At 40.8% G+C, this 18,799-nt stretch overlaps 1 pseudogene, besides 2 other annotated features; it reads right to left on the bottom strand.

Annotated features, from left to right (window-relative positions):
* Window positions 1,726-2,231: an enhancer, noted in NCBI's record as "NANOG hESC enhancer chr11:18921836-18922341 (GRCh37/hg19 assembly coordinates)". NCBI's record gives its function as "activates a minimal SCP1, AML or CMV promoter by ChIP-STARR-seq in naive H9 embryonic stem cells {active_cell/tissue: H9 hESC(naive)}" and the evidence as "EXISTENCE:reporter gene assay evidence [ECO:0000049][PMID:30033119]".
* MRGPRX5P (MAS related GPR family member X5, pseudogene) lies at window positions 11,671-12,859 on the bottom strand (annotated as a pseudogene).
* Window positions 14,276-14,781: an enhancer, noted in NCBI's record as "NANOG hESC enhancer chr11:18934386-18934891 (GRCh37/hg19 assembly coordinates)". NCBI's record gives its function as "activates a minimal SCP1, AML or CMV promoter by ChIP-STARR-seq in primed H9 embryonic stem cells {active_cell/tissue: H9 hESC(primed)}" and the evidence as "EXISTENCE:reporter gene assay evidence [ECO:0000049][PMID:30033119]".

Genomic DNA, 18,799 nt, shown 5'->3' on the forward strand with positions numbered 1-18,799 from the left:
AAACAAGAAGGGGCTAACTATCCTAAATATATATGCACCCAATACAGGAGCACCCAGATTCATAAAGCAAGTTCTTAGAGACCTACAAAGAGACTTAGACTCCCACACAATAATAGCAGGAGAATTTTACACCCCACTGTCAATATTAGATCAACAAGAAAGAAAATTAACAAGAATATTCAGGATTTGAACTCAGCTCTGGACCAAGTGGACCTAATAGAAACTGACAGAACTCTCCACCCCAAATCAACAGCATATACTTTCTTCTTAGTGCCACATAGCACTTATTCTAAAATCAGCCACATAATTGGAAGTAAAACACTCCTCAGCAAATGCAAAATAATGGAAATCATAACAAGCAGTCTCTCAGACCACAGTGCAATCAAATTAGAACTCAGGATTAAGAAACTCACTCAAAACTACACAACCACAAGGAAACTAAACAACCTGCTCCTGAATGACTACTGGATAAATAATGAAATTAAGGCAGTAATAAAAAAGTTCTTTGAAACCAATGAGAACAAACAGACAATTTACCAGAATCTCTGGGACACAGTTAAGCAATGTTTAGAGGGAAATGTATAGTACTAAATGCCCACAGGAGAAAGCAGGAAAGATCTAATATCAACACCCTGACATCACAATTAAAGAACTAGAGAAGCAAGACCAATTAAAAGACACAGACTTTGTCTTTTAATTCAAGTTCAAAATCTAGGAGAAGATAAGAAATAACTAAGATCAGAACAGAACTGAAAAAGATAGAGACATGAAAAACTCTTCAGAAAATCAATGAATTCAGGAGCTGGCTTTTTGGAAAGATTAACAGAACAGATAGACCACTAGCTAGACTAATAAAGAAAAAAAGGAAGAAGAATCAAATAGATAAAATGAAAAATGATAAAGGGGATATCACCAGGGAACCTACAGAAATGCAAACTACCACCAGAGAATACTATAAACACCTCTACGCAAATAAACTAGAAAATCTAGAAGAAATGGATAAATTCCTGAACACATATACATTCCCAAGACTAAACCAGGAAGAAGTCAAATCCCTGGGTAGACCAATAACAAGTTCTGAAATTGAGGCAGTAATTCATAGCCTACCAAAAAAAGCCCAGGACCAGACGGATTCACAGCCAAATTCTACCAGAGGTACAAAGAGGAGCTGGTACCATTCCTTCTGAAACCATTTCAAACCACTGAAAAGGAGGGACTTCTCCCTAACTCATTTCATGAGGCCAGCATCATTCTGATACCAAACCAAGCAGAGACAAAACAAAAAAAGAAAACTTCAGGCCAATATCCCTGATGAACATCAATGCAAAAATCCTCAATAAAATACTGGCAAACTGAATCCAGCAGCACATGGAAGTCTTATCCACCACGATCAAGTCGGCTTCATCCCTGGGATGCAAGGCTGGCTCAACATACGCAAATCAGTAAATGTAACCCATCACATAAACAGAACTGATGACAAAAACCACCCGATTATCTCAATAGATCCAGAAAAGGCCTTCGGTAAAATTCAACATCCCTTCATGCTAAAAACTTGTGGGGAAAAGAGAGATCAGACTGTTACTGTGTCTATGTAGAAAGAAGTAGACATAAGAAACTCCATTTTGTTCTGTACTAAGAGAAATTCTTCTGCCTTGAGATGCTGTTAATCTGTAACCCTAGCCCCAACCCTGTGCTTGCAGAGACATGTCCTGTGTTGACTCAAGGTTTAATGGATTTAGGGCTGTGCAGGATGTGCTTTGTTAAAAAAGTGCTTGAAGGCAGTATGCTTGGTAAAAGTCATCGCCACTCTCTAATCTCAAGTACCCAGGGACACAATACACTGTGGAAGTCCGCAAGGACCTCTGCCCAGGAAAGCCAGGTATTGTCCAAGGTTTCTCCCCAAGTGATAGCCTGAGATATGGCCTCGTGGGAAGGGAAAGACCTGACCATCCCCCAGCCGACACCCATAAAGGGTCTGTGCTGAGGAGGATTAGTGAAAGAGAAAGCCCTCTTTGCAATTGAGATAAGAGGAAGGCATCTGTCTCCTGCTCGTCCCTGGGAATGGAATGTCTCAGTGTAAAAGCTGATTGTATGTTCTATTTACTGAGATAGGAGAAAACCACCTTAAGGCTGGTGGTGAGACATGCTGGTGGCAATACTGCTCTTTAATGCACCGAGATGTTTGTGTACGTGCACAGCAAAGCACAGGACCTTTCCTTAAACTTATTTATGACACAGTGACCTTTGCTCACATGTTTTCCTGCTGACCCTCTCCCCACTATTACCCTATTGTCTTGCCACATCCCCCTCACCGAGGTAGTAGAGATAGTGATCAATAAATACTGAGGGAACTCAGAGATCAGTGCCGGCACGGGTCCTCTGTATGCTGAGTGCCTGTCCCCTGGGCCCACTGTTCTTTCTCTATACTTTGTCTCTGTGTCTTATTTCTTTTCTCAGTCCCTCGTCCCACCTGAGAGAAACTCCCACAGGTGTGGAGGGGCTGGCCCCCTTCAAAACTCTCAATAAACTAGATATTGATGGAACGTATCTCAAAATAATAAGAGCTATTCATGACAAACCCATAGCCAATATCATACTGAATGGGTGAAAGCTGGAAGCACTCCCTTTGAACAGTGGCACAAGACAAGGATGTCCTCTTCTGCCACTGCTATTCATCACAGTATTGAAAGTTCTGGCCAGGGAAATCAGCCAATACAAAACAATTAAGAGTATTCAAATAGGAAGAGAGGAAGTCAAATTGTCTCTATTTGCAGATGACAATATTGTATATTTAGAAAATCCCATCCTCTCAGTCTCAAAATTCCTTAAGCTGATAAGCAACTTCAGCAAAGTCTCAGCATAGAAAATCAATGTGCAATAATCACCAGCATTCCTATGCATCAATAATAGTTAAGCAGAGAGACGAATCATGATGAACTACTGTTCACAATTTCTACAAAGAGAATAAAATTCCTAGGAATACAACATCAAGGAAATAAAAAACGACACAAACAAAAGAAAAAAGTTTCATGCTCATGGATAGGAAGAATCAATATCGTGAAAATGGCCATACTGCCCAAAGTAATTTATAGACTCAATGCTATTCCCATAAAGCTACCATTGACTTTCTTCACAGAATTTAAAAAAAAAAAACTACTTTAAATTTCATGTAGAACCCAAAAAGAGCCCATATAGCCAAGGCAATCCTAAGCAAAGAGGACAAAGCTTGAGGGATCACCCTGCCTGACTTCAAACTATACTACGAGGCTACAGTAACCAAAACAGCATGGTAGTGGTAACAAAAGTGATATGTAGACCAATGAAACAGAACAGAGTCCTCAGAAATAACAGCACCAGGTATAGACCAATGAAACAGAACAGAGTCCTCAGAAATAACACCACACAGGTACAATCATCTGATCTTTGAGAAACCTGACAAAAACAAGCAATGGGGAAAGAATTCCCTATTTAGTGAATGGTGCTGGGAAACTGGCTAGCCAAATGCAGAAAACAGAAACTGGACCCCTTCCTCACACCTTATACAAAAATTAACTCGAGAATGATTAAAGACTTAAATGTAAAACTGAAAACGATAAAAACCCTGGAAGAAAACCTAGGCAATACCATTTAGGACATAGGCATGGGCAATGACTTCATGACTGGAACAGCAAAAGCAATGGCAACAAAAGCCAAAATTGACAAATGAGATCTAATTAAACTAAAGAGCTTCTGCACAGCAAAGGAAACTATCATCAGATTGAACAGATGTCCTACGGGATAGCAGAAAATTTTTGCGATCTCATCTAACAAAGGTCTAATATCCAGAATCTACAAGGAAGTTAAACAAATTTTTTTTTTTTTTTTAATTTGAGATGGAGTCTCACTCTCTTGCCCAGACTGGAGTGCAGTGGCACAATCTTAGGTCACTTGAACCTCCGCCTCCTGGGTTCAAGCAATTCTCCTGCCTCAGCCTCCTGAGTAGCTGGGATTACAGGCGCCTATCACCATGCCTGGCTAATTTTTTTATTTTTAGTAGAGATGGGGTTTCACCATGTTGGCCAGGCTGGTCTCAAACTTCTGACCTCAGGTGATCCACCCGCCTCGGCCTCCCAAAGTACTGGGATTACAAGCATGAGCCAACACACCTGGCCAAAGTTAAACAAATTTATAAGAAAAAAACAAACAACCTCATCAAAAAGTGGGCAAAGGATATATATAAACAGACACTTCTCAAAAGAAGACATTTTTTGTAGCAAAAAAATATGAAAAAAAGCTCATCATCACTGATCATTAGAAATACATATAAAAACAATGAGACACCATCTCACACCAGCCACAGTGAAGATTATTAAAAAGTCAGGGACCAACAGATGCTGGTGAGACTGTGGAGAAATGGGAACGCTTTTACACTGTTGGTGGGAGTGTAAATTAGTTCAACCATTGTGGAAGACAGTGTGGAGATTTCTCAAGGATCTAGAACCGGAAATATCATTTGACCCAGCAATCCCATTACTGGGTATATACCCAAAGGATTATAAATCATTCTACTATAAAGACACATGCACACACATGTTTATTGCAGCAGTATTTACAATAGCAAAGACTTGGAACCAACCCAAATGCCCATCAATGATAGACTGGATAAAGAAAATGTGACACATATACACTATGGAATACTATGCAGCCATAAAAGAGAACGAGTTCAGTCCTTTGGAGGGACATGGATGAAGCTGGAAGCCATCATTCTCAGCAAACTAACACAGGAATAGAAAACCAAACACTGCATGTTCTCACTCATAAGTGGGAGTTGAACAATGAGAAAACATGCAACAGGGAGAGGAACATCACACATGAGGGCCTGTCGGGGGTGGGGGGCAAGGGGAAAGAGAGCATTATGACAAATACCTAATGCATGTGAGGCTTAAAACATAGATGATGAGTTGATAGGTGCAGAAAATCACCATGGCACATGTATACCTATGTAAGAAACCTGTACGTTCTGCACATGTATCCCAAAACTTAAAGTAAAAATTAAAAAAATGTACACATATGTTTATAGCTGCTTTATTTTTAAATGTTACATTAGAAAAAACAGCAATATCCTTCCACTTACCAATAATGAAACAAAGCATAGTACATCCATACAATGGAACACTACTCAGTAGTATAAAAAATTAGCAATAAGTTATTGATACTTGCAAAAACTTGCATGGATCTTGAGGACATTATGCTGAATGAAAAAAGCCAAAGTCAAATGATTAGATACTGTATGATTCTATTTATGTAACACTTTTGAAATGACAAAATTATAGAGATGAAGAATAGAACAGTGATTAGAGGGGTTTGGGAAGAAGAATAGTGTGGGTGTGGCAGTAGGGGGAACCCAGGGGAAATCTTCTGTGGTGAAGAAACACTTCTATATTCAATGTCGTTCTGGTTATATGATCTACACATGTGACAAAATGTTATGGAATGAAACATAGAGAAATATCTCACTCCAAAAATGAGTGCATGCAAACACTGGTAAAATTTGGTAAGATCGTACTGTAGATATTTGGTGAAGTCTCATAAGATTTGTAGTGTAGATAATTGGATGGTACCAATGTCATTTTCCTGGTTTTGATAATACATTCAATTAAAAAGTCAGTATTACTGTGGGTTGGTTGATGGGCATACAGGAACTCTCTGTACTATTTTAGTAACTTCTTAATAGTCTACAATTAATTCTGAATGAAAACTTAAAAACAACTGAGAGACTGGTTTGTTGTGTGGACTCACTCCAAGAATATTGAAGTCACCAAGAATGAGGACATGGGGTATGCTGGAAGGGAGTTTGTTAACCGAGTACATAGGTAGAAGGTAATATAATTTGCATTCACCAACCCAACACGAAATTAAGCACATATTAAATTTTTATCATATTTATTTCCAATAACTCTTAAAATGAGTACATACACTTTTACAGACACAAGGCTGAATCATGCATCTCTACTCTCACCAATAATTGTACATATCTTTGATAAGAAGGCAAGGGTGCCTGCACACCTGGAATGGGAATGACAACTTTCTTCAACTTCAGAAAGTCTGAGGTTGATATGTGTTATTCTCTCACATGTTTACCAGGATTTAAAAATGTCAAGTCACTATAGAAATTACGTTACAAAGAGGTTCTAGACAACACAGAATTTGAATAGGAATTTTGGGACATCCATATCAAGGCTATGCAGAGTTTAGATTTAAATTTTGATGTGACAATTACAATGGTGAATTTAATTCAAAGATTAACTATCTCCCCTACTCCCAATGTGGGCCTTTTGCAGGTAAAAATGCTGCTCCAGAGAAGGGGCTGCATTCCATTGCTTCTCTCTTCTCCCCTAACCCCCACACTTTTTTTTGTATTTTTATCCATGCCTTCTGACCCTGGAGGGCTGGACATATCCCTGTGAGGAGGGTGAGGAGAGAAGGGAATTGACTTTGTGGCTTGTCCTGTTGGCCTGACCTGCCTGGCCCTCTCTGGACTTTATATTATTATAGAGCTCACTCCTATGAATATCACAAAACTAACAGCAAGCCCTATCACTTCAAGGCCACAGAAGATGATGCTCATTATTCAGAGCACTCCAGCCTTATGATTCTATATAAGAGGAATATTGCCACCATGACCAAAATACATGGAGTGGGAGACACAAGGAATAAAACTCATGTATGAATTCTTCACCATTCCCTAAAAAACTCTCTGCTATTATTAACAGTGCCACTGTAAATTATTTCTTTCCCGATTTCTATCTGTCCAAATTTACAGCAAATTTTACAGCAAATTTACAGCAAATTTACAGACTGGCAAAATTTACAGCAGGTGCAATTATAATAATAATAATAATGCTGGGTCAATTATAGTCATCAGTTAAAATTCTACGTATTACACAAAGCCTTCCATGATCCACTCACTTCTACGTAGACACTTAGAAATGAGATCCACTGTGTCTTTTCTCTCCTTCCTTGTGTTTGCATCCTGCAAGGTTTCAGAACAATTGGACCAATATGATGGGCATGAGCATTGAGATTTCTTCTTCTATACTCTGCTGTCACTGCTAGAAACAGCAAACCAGTTCCGCCTATATCTATAGCCAGCATTGATACATTGACAATAGTGGTGCCCAAATGATACCACACCATCATATAGAACAAGCATCATAGCAGTCTCTGGATTCTAGAGCGCTGCCACATAGGTGAGAAGAATATATGCTTACTGTGATTATTGTCACGGTGTAGTGATGTGAATTTCTCAGGTGGCCTGTGGCCTGGATCACAACACTAGTTATCTTCAGCCTATGGTTATGGTAAAGTCATGCTTTACCCACATATTCTGAAAAGAGATACCTGAGCACAAATGCACAAATGGCACAGTTTCAGACTGGGGCAATCCCATAACCTCACTATCTGCTTGGCTTGCCTGGAATGAGCACGTGACTCATGTTGGCCATGCAGTCAGCTTGAGAATCCCAAATCCCTGAAACCAAGTCCAGTGTTCTTCCCATTCTAGCACTTACACATTCTGCTTCCCTACCTATCCTGGGATTTCTAGGTGCTGAATTGGGTTTGCCTGAAGACAAGGGCTTCTTCTGCTGGAACCTAGGGTAATAAGCACCTGCAGGGTCTCTTGAAAATACTTTCAGGAACTTTGCATTGGTGTGCTGTTGTACTATAGAATGAGGGCTGTTGTAATGTTCAGCCAATTCAGTCATCAATTATAAAACCATTGCTGATATTGTTTTCTTGCGTGAGTAGCCACCTGGTGAATATTCTTTTGTGTGTGTGTGTGTGTTTTGAGATAGAGTCTCACTCTGTCGCCCAGGCTGGAGTGCAGTGGTGCGATCTCTGCTCACTGCAAGCTCCGCCTCCTGGGTTCATGCCATTCTCCTGCCTCAGCCTCCCAAGTAGCTGGGACTACAGACACCCACCACCACACCCAGCTAATTTTTTGTATTTTTAGTAGAGACAGGGTTTCATCGTGTTAGCCAGGATGGTCTCGATCTCCTGACCTCGTGATCTGCCCCCCTCGGCCTCCCAAAGTGTTGGGATTATAGGCGTGAGCCACCGCGCCTGGCGTGAATATTCTCTAATTTATTAAAATCATGTTGTCCTGCTTCAGCTGGGTGCTTGGGTGTGGCATTGCTCTTCAGGATGGCAGCAAGATAACTTGGAATTTTTAGATACCCTCTCCTCTGAACACCCTTGAGCCACAAACACAATCCTTGGATAGCATGTGTCACACTGGGAGGCAGTCTTTCCTGTACTAGTGTCCTTCCTTCACAGGCTGTGCGCTCTGGGAATGTGGGTATGTTTACTTTGACTCCCAAGTGTCTGGCATGCAAGCTAGAGAATGGAAGATGCTCAGTATATATTTATACAACAAACAGTAGAAAAAGTGATAGATATTGCTATGAAAAGCCCACTTAATGATATATTCAGGAGTGTAAGTAGATAGATTAATTGAAAATGTCTGTTAATCAGCATTTAAACAAAAGGATACATTTGTAACATGAATATTTCAATTTTACCTAGAATTCATTCACTGTAATAGAACTAGACTGTAGAACAATCCTTTTGTAGGGTTCAGCAAATAGAATTCTGCTCTGTCTGGCTGAAAGCGTATCTATCAATCACTGTCTATAATTTGCAGTTTGAATTAGTTTAAGTGTAGATCTTAGCATCAGATGCATAGCATTCTGTCTTAGGAAATTGTTCAATATTGCTCATTTTTGTTTAATCTTGTAGAGTTGGAAGACTCACACCTACTAAACTAACAATAATTTTGGAACCTGCTTTTATTTTCCATTTGATCATTCATGTTAGTTTTTATGGAAATTGCAATTCTTCTTTCATACTATTTTTTCATTGATCTGTGCTGTATTTTGATAAATTAGGAAATTATATTCACTAGCCTAATTGGCAAAAGCAGGGCAAGAAACAGATTCAATTGGTTCTTGTGAGGCTGATGACTCAGTGCCCTTGTGCCCAGTGTACTAGAGCGTCAGTGAATGGCCATGAAGACTCAGCATTTGCTTGGCATCAGTCACTGTATTTGCTTCATGAAGTGGAAAGGATTAATTATACAGATAGAATGTATTAGTGAGAGACTTATTTGAAAGATGTTTGCTTTTATGTAGAATTAGCACAGCGCTTGATTAATTACGATTCAATGTTTGTTGAATTCATGCCTAAAATATAGTCATGAATGGCAGCTCCCAAAAAGTGCCAAGAGAGACTTTCATGTATTTTCTCACTTTCTGGAGAAAACTCCTGGATGTACTGCATGCTTCTCCTCCATATGAAACCAAGAGGAAATGATATCATTGGCCTGGTAAAGAAGGCAGCTCATAAGCCGACTCCCGCATCCCCTCCATTCTTCTTCCCAGAGGCAGTGAGCAAACCTCCAATGAAAGGAAACAGCTGTTCTCAGAATGACCAACTGCAGAGGACACTGTTAAGTGGAAGGTGCCTATAAGAGTTCCAGTGAGACCTGGTGACTGAGCCAGCCTTTGCAAGATGCTGGATGACCCTGTGATTATCAGGTGGGAGCTGCTTGAGAAAAATACCGAGTATTTTCTAAATTTCACACCTAGGCTGTTGCACTAGAAATTCAAAGACATGAATCCCTGCTCTTAAAGACCTCAGAGTGTGGTAGGAGAGAAAGATGTGTGGACAAATAATTCAAGTACACTGTTATAAGTGTTGTAGTAGAGCAACGTGTGAGGCCAAGTGAATTCAGAACGGGCTTCAGGGACAGTATCTAAGCTTTCATGAAGCTAAAGTTTTCTTCTGTCAAAGAAAAAGAATGTCACTAACATCAAAATAAGCAGTTTTTCATGTGAGGAACAAAATTATTTGAGTCAATTGCTAGGTGAAAATTCTCTACAGAATTCCTCATGATAGACAACATCTTTAGCCAAAACTGTACAATTGATATCACAGAATTCCAGAGTGGACTCTCCCAATAACCCTCAGTCTGAAAAGCTCCTTGCTTGGAGAATTGGCTGCAAACATTGCCTTCCTGCTTCCTCCGACCTTTAGGAAACCCTCCCCTACAGCCACATTCTAATACAGCATTTGAAAATTGAGAGTGGATAGATAGGATTCAGCATCAGCAGAGTGCTGGGCCTGGAAGAGGAATGGATCTGGACTGAGGGGACCTGAGTTCAACATTGTGAACAGTGTGATAGGAGCCACCAATAAATTTGTTTGGACAAATTGAAAACTATATACCTCTTTATTGCTTTCATAGCTCCTTTGTAATGTCTCTCCTGCATTCAAATGGCATGTGTCAGCTCCCCTCAGTGAGGGTCAATCTGAGGGGCAGCCTCACTGTTGGTGAGAAGCACAGAGCCAGCTGTGATGTCACATCTTCTCTTGATGTCTCTTCTGTCTGCTTGAGTTATCTGGGGAAGAAATTACCACTGGTAGAAAATAGTTCTGAGTTTTGTACTGATTCCATTTCTAAAATTACGTTTTTAATTGTGGTAAAATTTACATAACATACATTTTACAACTATAACCATTTAAAGTGTACAATTCAGTGTCAGTAAGTACATTCAAAATAAATTGTAACTGTTACGACTGTGCCCTTTAAGAACTTTTAATTATTCCACACAGAAATTCTGTGCTCTTTAAATAATGGCTACTCATTCTCTCCATTATCCAGCACCAGGCTCCTCCTAATTTATTTTCTGTATTCATGAATTTCCTAGTTTCAATACTTCATAAAATTTGAACTTACAATATTGTTCTTTGGTGTCTGGCTTATAATGCTGAGCATGATGTTTCCAGGTTCATCTATGTCACAGCATGTATTAGAATTTTGTACGAACTGGAAGTTATTATCCAGATACTATAATTGACATGAGCAAGGAAAGGTCAGATGTTTTCAGTGTTGCTTCTCATGTTAACAGCCATAAAACTAACTGAAAGTTAAGCCAGAACAATTTATACAAACCCTGGAAGTATGGAGAATTCTCCTGTAACTGAAACAATGTGTAAGCAAATACATGATTTTTGAGATAATTTCCACTTTGAAACCAATACTGAGGCTTCCAATGGCCAAATTGAACTGATGGAGCATATTTATGAGCTCCTCACTGGTTCATTAGTCCAGGAAGAGCTAAATAAGAACTTACCGGTTCTTAAGGGGAAGGGGCCATGGTTATCTTTGCTAGAAACCAAGGCCAACATGTCACCATTCTGTAGACAAATGACAGCGGAGGACTTTCCATAAAACCAATTCCCTAGACTGTTTTTATGAAGAGACATTGTATCTAATGTATACATAATGTATAAAATAATGTATCGAAGTACGTTATTTTGCTCTATATATGAGAATTCAATGGAACTTAGAGACAGCAGAACTCACTTATTCAGAATCTAGTTACCAGCTGCAGTAATGCCTCCAGTCATAAAAGGGAACATGATTTTTAGGGGAACATAATCTGAGAGATTAAAAAGGAATCTTCCTTTTTGATACAATCAGGTTCAAACAAGCATAAAGAAGAGTTTTAAGGTTTCGGACAGAAACTCCATGCATTACAATGAAAATTACAGAAAAAGTGTTCTGTAGGAAAGATTCAGTGTAAGACAACAGAGAAAATGTGTTGGTAATATCAGGAGAATCTAAATATTGTACTGTCAGACTAATGCTTTCCACAGGTGAAAACCGCAATTGTCAGGTTAGATAAACATCTATTCGAAGACCTTGAGGAACCACTGAGACATTTCTGAGGCGGAAGGCTAAGAAAAATGCATATAATTGTCAAGGGTGGCAGGGCAGTGTTGCTCTCAAAGTCCCATCTGACTGACAGGGTAGAGGCTCTTCCTCACTGCCTGAATCTGCTTCCCGACAGCTCCAGGGTTTCCTGAGGAAGGCACCATCCACCTTCATCCACCTCAGGCGTGTCCTGCAGATCCCTCTGGAGAACCAGCTTCAGGTTCTGCCAATTTTGATGCTGCCTAACGAAACCCATGAAGAAGTAAATGATGGGGTTGGCACTGCTGTTAAGAGACGACAGGAAAATGGAAGGCAGATGAACATGAGAATATAAGACTTCCCAGTCCATGTGGATCCTGGAAAACAGGGCCCACTGAATGCCAATGGGCAGGCCGCAGAGGAGGAAGACCAGCACTGTGAGCAGATGGTCATGTACAGCCTGGTCAGCGGCATCTTCTGGGATCCACAGAGGATCCTGACCACTAGGACCAGGCTGGACACACAGAGAACCACAAATAAAAAAATCAGCCACGTAACTGTGATGAATCTGATGTTTGACACCAAACAGAATCAGCATCACTAAACAGGGAGTCACAGAACATCCACTCCAGGATGCTCTACAGCAGGGACAGGGCCCAGAGCAGGACACACACGACCGTTGACAGGTGTGTGGGGTGGCGGCAGCGTTACCAGATGGGCCACAGGATTGACAGGCAGCGCTTGGTGCTCATGGCACTCAGAATATTCAGGCCTGCCAAGTAGGGAAAGGTCATCACAGGCTAGAGGATTAGAGAGATGGGATGGACGTTATTGATGAGGTGTAACAGGGATGTATAATGTGGCTGCTGAGGAGGAGGAAGTTGGCCGCGACCAGGTTGAGGATGTAGATGGAGACAGCGTTCCTGCACATGCGGAAGCCCAGGAGCCAGAGCACAACCGCGTTTCCTGTCAGCGCGACAAGGGAAACGATGCACGTCAGCACCGTGAAGCTCAGGGTCTGATTGTAGCAAGGAGTCTCCTCAGTTCCGTTGATTGGTGTCAGTTCTGTACCCAAGACTGGGATGGTTGGATCCATGCTCAGAAACCCCAGTCTGGTGCCCCTGGGAACACAAACCAGATGTGATCACCAGCTGTATCATCTCTGATTCTCCCCACCACCCTGCCATGTGGGATTTACTGTCCTTACTTTAAGGAGAGAGAAAAAGAGGCTCGCAGAGAATAAATCACCTATCAAAAGGTGGGGGTCCTCAAATAGAGTTTGAAATCCAGTTCTTATTGATTCTGAAGTCTGACCTCACTCTGCTGCCACACAAGTTCTGTACGGACATGGGAGTAACTTATGATCAAAACACCCTCACTCATCCAGCCAGGGCTGTGGACCCGATGATTACTCTATCCTGGGCCTGACATTTTCTCTCAGGTGGAGGAATTCAGATCCACAAAGAGGTGGTTGTGACACCCTCATGACTAGGACTGATCATCCATGGACAGGAAAGAAGACCATGCATTATGAACCAGAGGAAAATGTGACTTTCACTAGGATACGTGTGGAAATGGCTGGGCCTGGTGGGTGAGAAATAACTCAGTGTGTCAGTCATTGCAGACAGGAACACATTTTACATTTTATACTTCCAGTGCCTATTTCCATGAGCAGCATACTGTGCTCTTCATAAATATTCATTCAATGAATGAATGCATGCATGAGGAGCCTAATGGTACTGGTAGATTTTGGTGAAATGGAAAATAAAAATGAAAGCACTATGTACATCATTAGAACACATAAGTGTAATTAGATGAAGAAAATTTCATCCATCAGAATTCTATTTGTGGACAGCTCTATCTGTGTTGAGAAGAATTATTGATGAGTGCCCAAAACCTGAAATTGTCCACTGATGTGCCTTTAAAATGAGGACTTGATGTGGTTATGCTGAACACCTAGAAGCATTTTGTATACAATGTTTGTGTAGGGTGTGGGTCTGAGCTGAATTGCTCAGCCATATAGCAGAGGAAAGAGTAAGTGAGGGCGAGGTCTGAGTGCCACTGAAAAAGGTAATTGAAGTGTTGGAATATCTATGGGGGAGTGTTAAGTGTTCTGCTGGGTATATACAATGTAAACCAATTTCATTTTTTCTTTCAGGAGATCTTTGTTAGCATTTCTTTGTTGCTGTAAACATTTGTATGAGAGAAGTCCATGATGGGAAATAGGAGATGTTAGGGCTTGGAGTATAGAGAGATGTTCATGCAGATTTCAACTGGAGAATGAGGATTAGGTCTAATCTGGGAGAATAACAGCTGCTGATTGAGAGTTTTAAGGTATTGTCTCTTTTAATCATCTGAAGAGCCTAGGAGGTAAGAATGAGTATTATTCCCATATGGCAGATAATGCATTGGAACACACAAAAAAAGTGAACTATTCATTCTGGGACTCATATAGTGTGAATTTGAGCCCAGTAGGGCTGACTCACGATCCAGTCTTGGAGCAGCCCTTTAGACCCGCACCACTCTGTCAATTATACATGTTAGAGGGGGGTAAAGCAGAGGAGGGATTCTCAAGTTAAATCCAAGTTGGCAGGTAAAATTGTGGGTTGAAAAAAAAACTAACCTAAACAAATTTCAGATAGAGAAAGAGAAGCAAATCAAAAAGGGAACAAAATAGAGGAGAGTGAAAGCCATTTAGGAACAAATTCAGGAGCTCCTTTTTGCTATCAGAGGCCACCTTTGCTCTGGAATCCCGAGAATGCACATGGGCAGGAGCTCTCCAGGTGGAAAGAAGATGCATCCTCCTCTGGGAGTATAGAGGAGCATCTGGAGTGAGTGCATCCATCATGAGCTCTCTTAAAGAGACAAGCTGCCACAGCTCTGATTGGCCCGAAAAGGAAATGGGAGGAAAAGGAGAACCTCTGTTATCCACACTCAGAGCACTAAATACTTTGTCCATTTATATTTAGGGTAATGGTGTACTTGTCTTCCTCATGAAACCTGAAGCTTCATAACAACTAAGTCATGACTGTCTTTTTCACTGTGGTATGACCAACATTTGGCATGTGTTCCTTAAAGATCATCTATGGTATTATTTTCTTATAACGTAAGATGAAGCCAAGACCTAGAGAATTAAAGCGTTTTCCTGAGATCACAACACAAACAGCAGGTCCAGTACCAGTCCCTGGTTCCTGGAGCCCTCATGAGACTTCTCTGCCCCATCATTCATTATTTCAGAGGAGTTCCTGATAAACCTTGATGGGAGCACAGAATCAGAGACAGTCAGAGGCAGAGAAGACTGCTATGTTGCCCTAATATTCATTTTCCTCTTTGGTCACATAACAATTCTCAGAGTTTAAAAGCAGCACAAGGACCCACATTCCAGTTTTCCTTGATGCAGGGAGCCATCATATGACCAGGTGCTGTTCAATGAAAGATGCACAAAAGTGATATAAGCAAGTCCTGGCTCAGAGGATCAATCAAAGAAGCAAAGCCTCTCCTTTTCTTCATTTTTTCCTATCATGCTGGAATGCTAGTGTGGCTGGAAACCATGTAAGATCACAAGGATGAGTGCAACTCTCTAGGGACTGCAGAGTAGTAATTTTCGGAATTCTGATATACAATACCTTGGAGCATCCAGCACAGATCTCAAAGATAGTCATTTCTGGGTATTCACAGAGGCTTGTATCTGGAACCACAGCACACACCAAAATCTGCAGACGCTCAATTTCCTTATATAAAATGAGGTGATATTTGTACAAAACCTGTGCACTTTCTCCCAGACACATTAAATCATTTTTAAGTTACTTAGAATAACTGGCAAAATGCAAATGCCATGAAAATTCTTGTTTTACTGTATTTTTTGGAAGTAATGACAAGGAAAAACAAGTTTCTGCCTGTTCAGTACATACACAACTCCGCCATACCATTATTTTTAAAATAGTTTTCACCTGTGGTTTGTTGAATCTGCAGATTGAGGACCTAGCGACCCAGAGGCACAACTGTACTTTCTTGTTTAAGATATTTCTACTTTGTGTATTTGTGAAAGTAGCCAAACTTATACTCTTAACAAAAGAAATATGTTCTGTCTTTAACATTATAATTTATTTTCTATGCATTTTTGATGAATGCAAACATTTCTGCATAGAAGTGACAGTAGAGAACGACATGCCAAATGTTAAAGTAGTCTGATAGAGCTGAAATGAGACAGGTATCAATCACCTTTAGACAGAGGAAGCCCCAGGAATTAGGAGGATATAAGAAGGAGAGAAGGATAGTCCCATTTGCTATGACGATTTGCTTTCCACTCTTCTTTATCTTGTTTGACATCCCAAGAGAGTGGCTTCTATGTACCACATCAGTGGGAATCTTTTTTAATTCCAGTTTCTGGTGGAATTGTGACACTGGGACACACCAGCAGGAGACTGGAAGACAGCAGGAGAGCACTTTGGGATTTCCACCTCCTGGCTCTCTGCCTGTGTATTAGTTCATTCTCAAATTGCTATAAAGAAATACCTGAGACCGGGAGATTTGTGAAGAAAACAGGTTTAATTGGCTCATGGCTCTGAAGGCTATACAGGAAGCATAGCAGCTTCTGCTTCTGGGGAGGCTTCAGGAAGCTTCCAATCCTGGTGAAAGGCAAAGGGGGAGTGAGGCATCTCACACGGTGAGAGCAAGAGTAAGAGAGAGAGGGAGGACGTGCTACACGCTTTTAAATAACTAGATTTCATGAGAACTCACTCGCTATCACTACAGCAATACCAAAGGGGGATGGTGTTAAGCCATTCATGAGAAACCATCCCCACCATCTAATCACCACCCACCAGGCCCTCCTTCCAACACCGGGAATTACAATCAACATGAGATTTGGGTGGGGACACAGATCCAAAGCATATCAGCCTGTGTGGCTGTGTGTTGGTCGTGCAAGGCTTCTCTACCTGCCTGCTCATGCTCTCCCACCCTTATGGCTACAGCTATGGCTATGGTGTCAATGGTAACTGCTCCTTCCCTCTCCCTTTCAGCCTAAGGGAGGAAGTAGTGCTCCCTTAGGTATTGCTGCTTAGGGTGCTCATCCATGCATTGTCGCTATCCCTTAACACTGCACATCTTTGTAAATACTTCCCTCATGAAACACTCCTCAGTCATTTCAGTTGGGACCTCCTGTTTCTTCCATGAACCTTTACAGACAGGCAAGGATGAATAATTTAGAAAAGTAAGTAAAACAACAAAACTTGCTTCTACAGCAGTTCAACTCTGCGAAGCAATGCCTGCATGTCCTCTAACTCCTTAAATGAATGTGAGAGACAGCATTCTCTCCATGAGGACAGATTCAGTGATTGGAATAAAGGAGGTGATATGGGGAGATAAATCAGAAGTGGGGATCCCAGTTGAAGGTCAACACACTCTGAGTTGGCAGCACTCAGTTTCCAGAAGGAAACATCATGTCTCCTGTCTTTTCCTGAAACAAGCTCATGATCCCCTGCCTGTAGCACCTAGGTGGAAACACAGAAACGATCTTATAGCAAAAACCATAACTGACTGTGGAAGAAGACAGTTCTTGGTACTTATTCTTCTCTTTTGTCCAGTGGTGAAGACTTCCCTTGTGCTAAAGCTGGAGGGCCTTTCTGGGATTCAGTGACTTCAGAGAACCCTTCTGTGTTGCTTAATTCAGGAGATGCCTACAGGAGCTGGAGTCAAAGCTGGTGAGCAATCCAGACTTATGAAGATGCAGGATTGCCTTGTTATTTCCTGTATAAGGACTATGGACAAATGAGCGGCCAGAGGTATTGAAGACACAAACCCTGAGATGATTCTTGGCCTCTGTCTCATATCCAGTACATATAAGCCTCTCCCATCACACTCCATCTTGTTCAACTTCCTTGATAAAAACAGTGGCAAGGTTTGAGAGAATTGACTTTCATTTTAAAAGAAGTTCTACTGTGTATAAAATGCTATCAAATAGCATTCCATGCTACATTAAAATCTTTCATAAAAGGATGAGTCAATCAACGTGGCAAACTTTACTGTTGTCTTGTTTTTTTTCTTGTTTATTTTATTTTATTTTATTATTATTATACTTTAAGTTTTAGGGTACATGTGCACTATGTGCAGGTTAGTTACATATGTATACATGTGCCATGCTGGTGTGCTGCACCCATTAACTTGTCATTTAACATTAGGTATATCTCCTAATGCTATCCCTCCCCTCTCCCCCCACCCCACAACAGTCCCCAGAGTGTGATGTTCCCCTTCCTGTGTCCATGTGTTCTCATTGTTCAATTCCCACCTATGAGTGAGAACATGCGGTGTTTGGTTTTTTGTCCTTGCGATAGTTTACTGAGAATGATGATTTCCAATTTCATCCATGTCCCTAAAAAGGACATGAACTCAACATTTTTTATGGCTGCATAGTATTCCATGGTGTATATGTGCCACATTTTCTTAATCCATTCTATCATTGTTGGACATTTGGGTTCGTTCCAAATCTTTGCTATTGTGAATAGTGCCGCAATAAACATACGTGCGCATGTGTCTTTATAGCAGCATGATTTATAGTCCTTTGGGTATATACCCAGTAATGGGATGGCTGGGTCAAATGGTATTTCTAGTTCTAGATCGCTGAGGAATTGCCACACTGACTTCCACAATGGTTGAACTAGTTTACAGTCCCACCAACAGTGTAAAAGTGTTCCTATTTCTCCACATCCTCTCCAGCACCTGTTGTTTCCTGACTTTTTAATGATCGCCATTCAAACTGGTGTGAGATGGTATCTCATTGTGGTTTTGATTTTCATTTCTCTGATGGCCAGTGATGGTGAGCATTTTTTCATGTGTTTTTTGGCTGCATAAATGTCTTCTTTTGAGAAGTGTCTGTTCATGTCCTTCGCCCACTTTTTGATGGGGTTGTTTGTTTTTTTCTTGTAAATTTGTTTGAGTTCATTGTAGATTCTGGATATTAGCCCTTTGTCAGATGAGTAGGTTGTGAAAATTTTCTCCCATTCTGTAGGTTGCCTGTTCACTCTGATGGTAGTTGCTGTGCAGAAGCTCTTTTAGTTTAATTAG

The sequence above is a fragment of the Homo sapiens genome, chromosome 11, assembly GCF_000001405.40.
Source record: "Homo sapiens chromosome 11, GRCh38.p14 Primary Assembly".
Classification (NCBI taxonomy): Eukaryota; Metazoa; Chordata; class Mammalia; order Primates; family Hominidae; genus Homo; species Homo sapiens.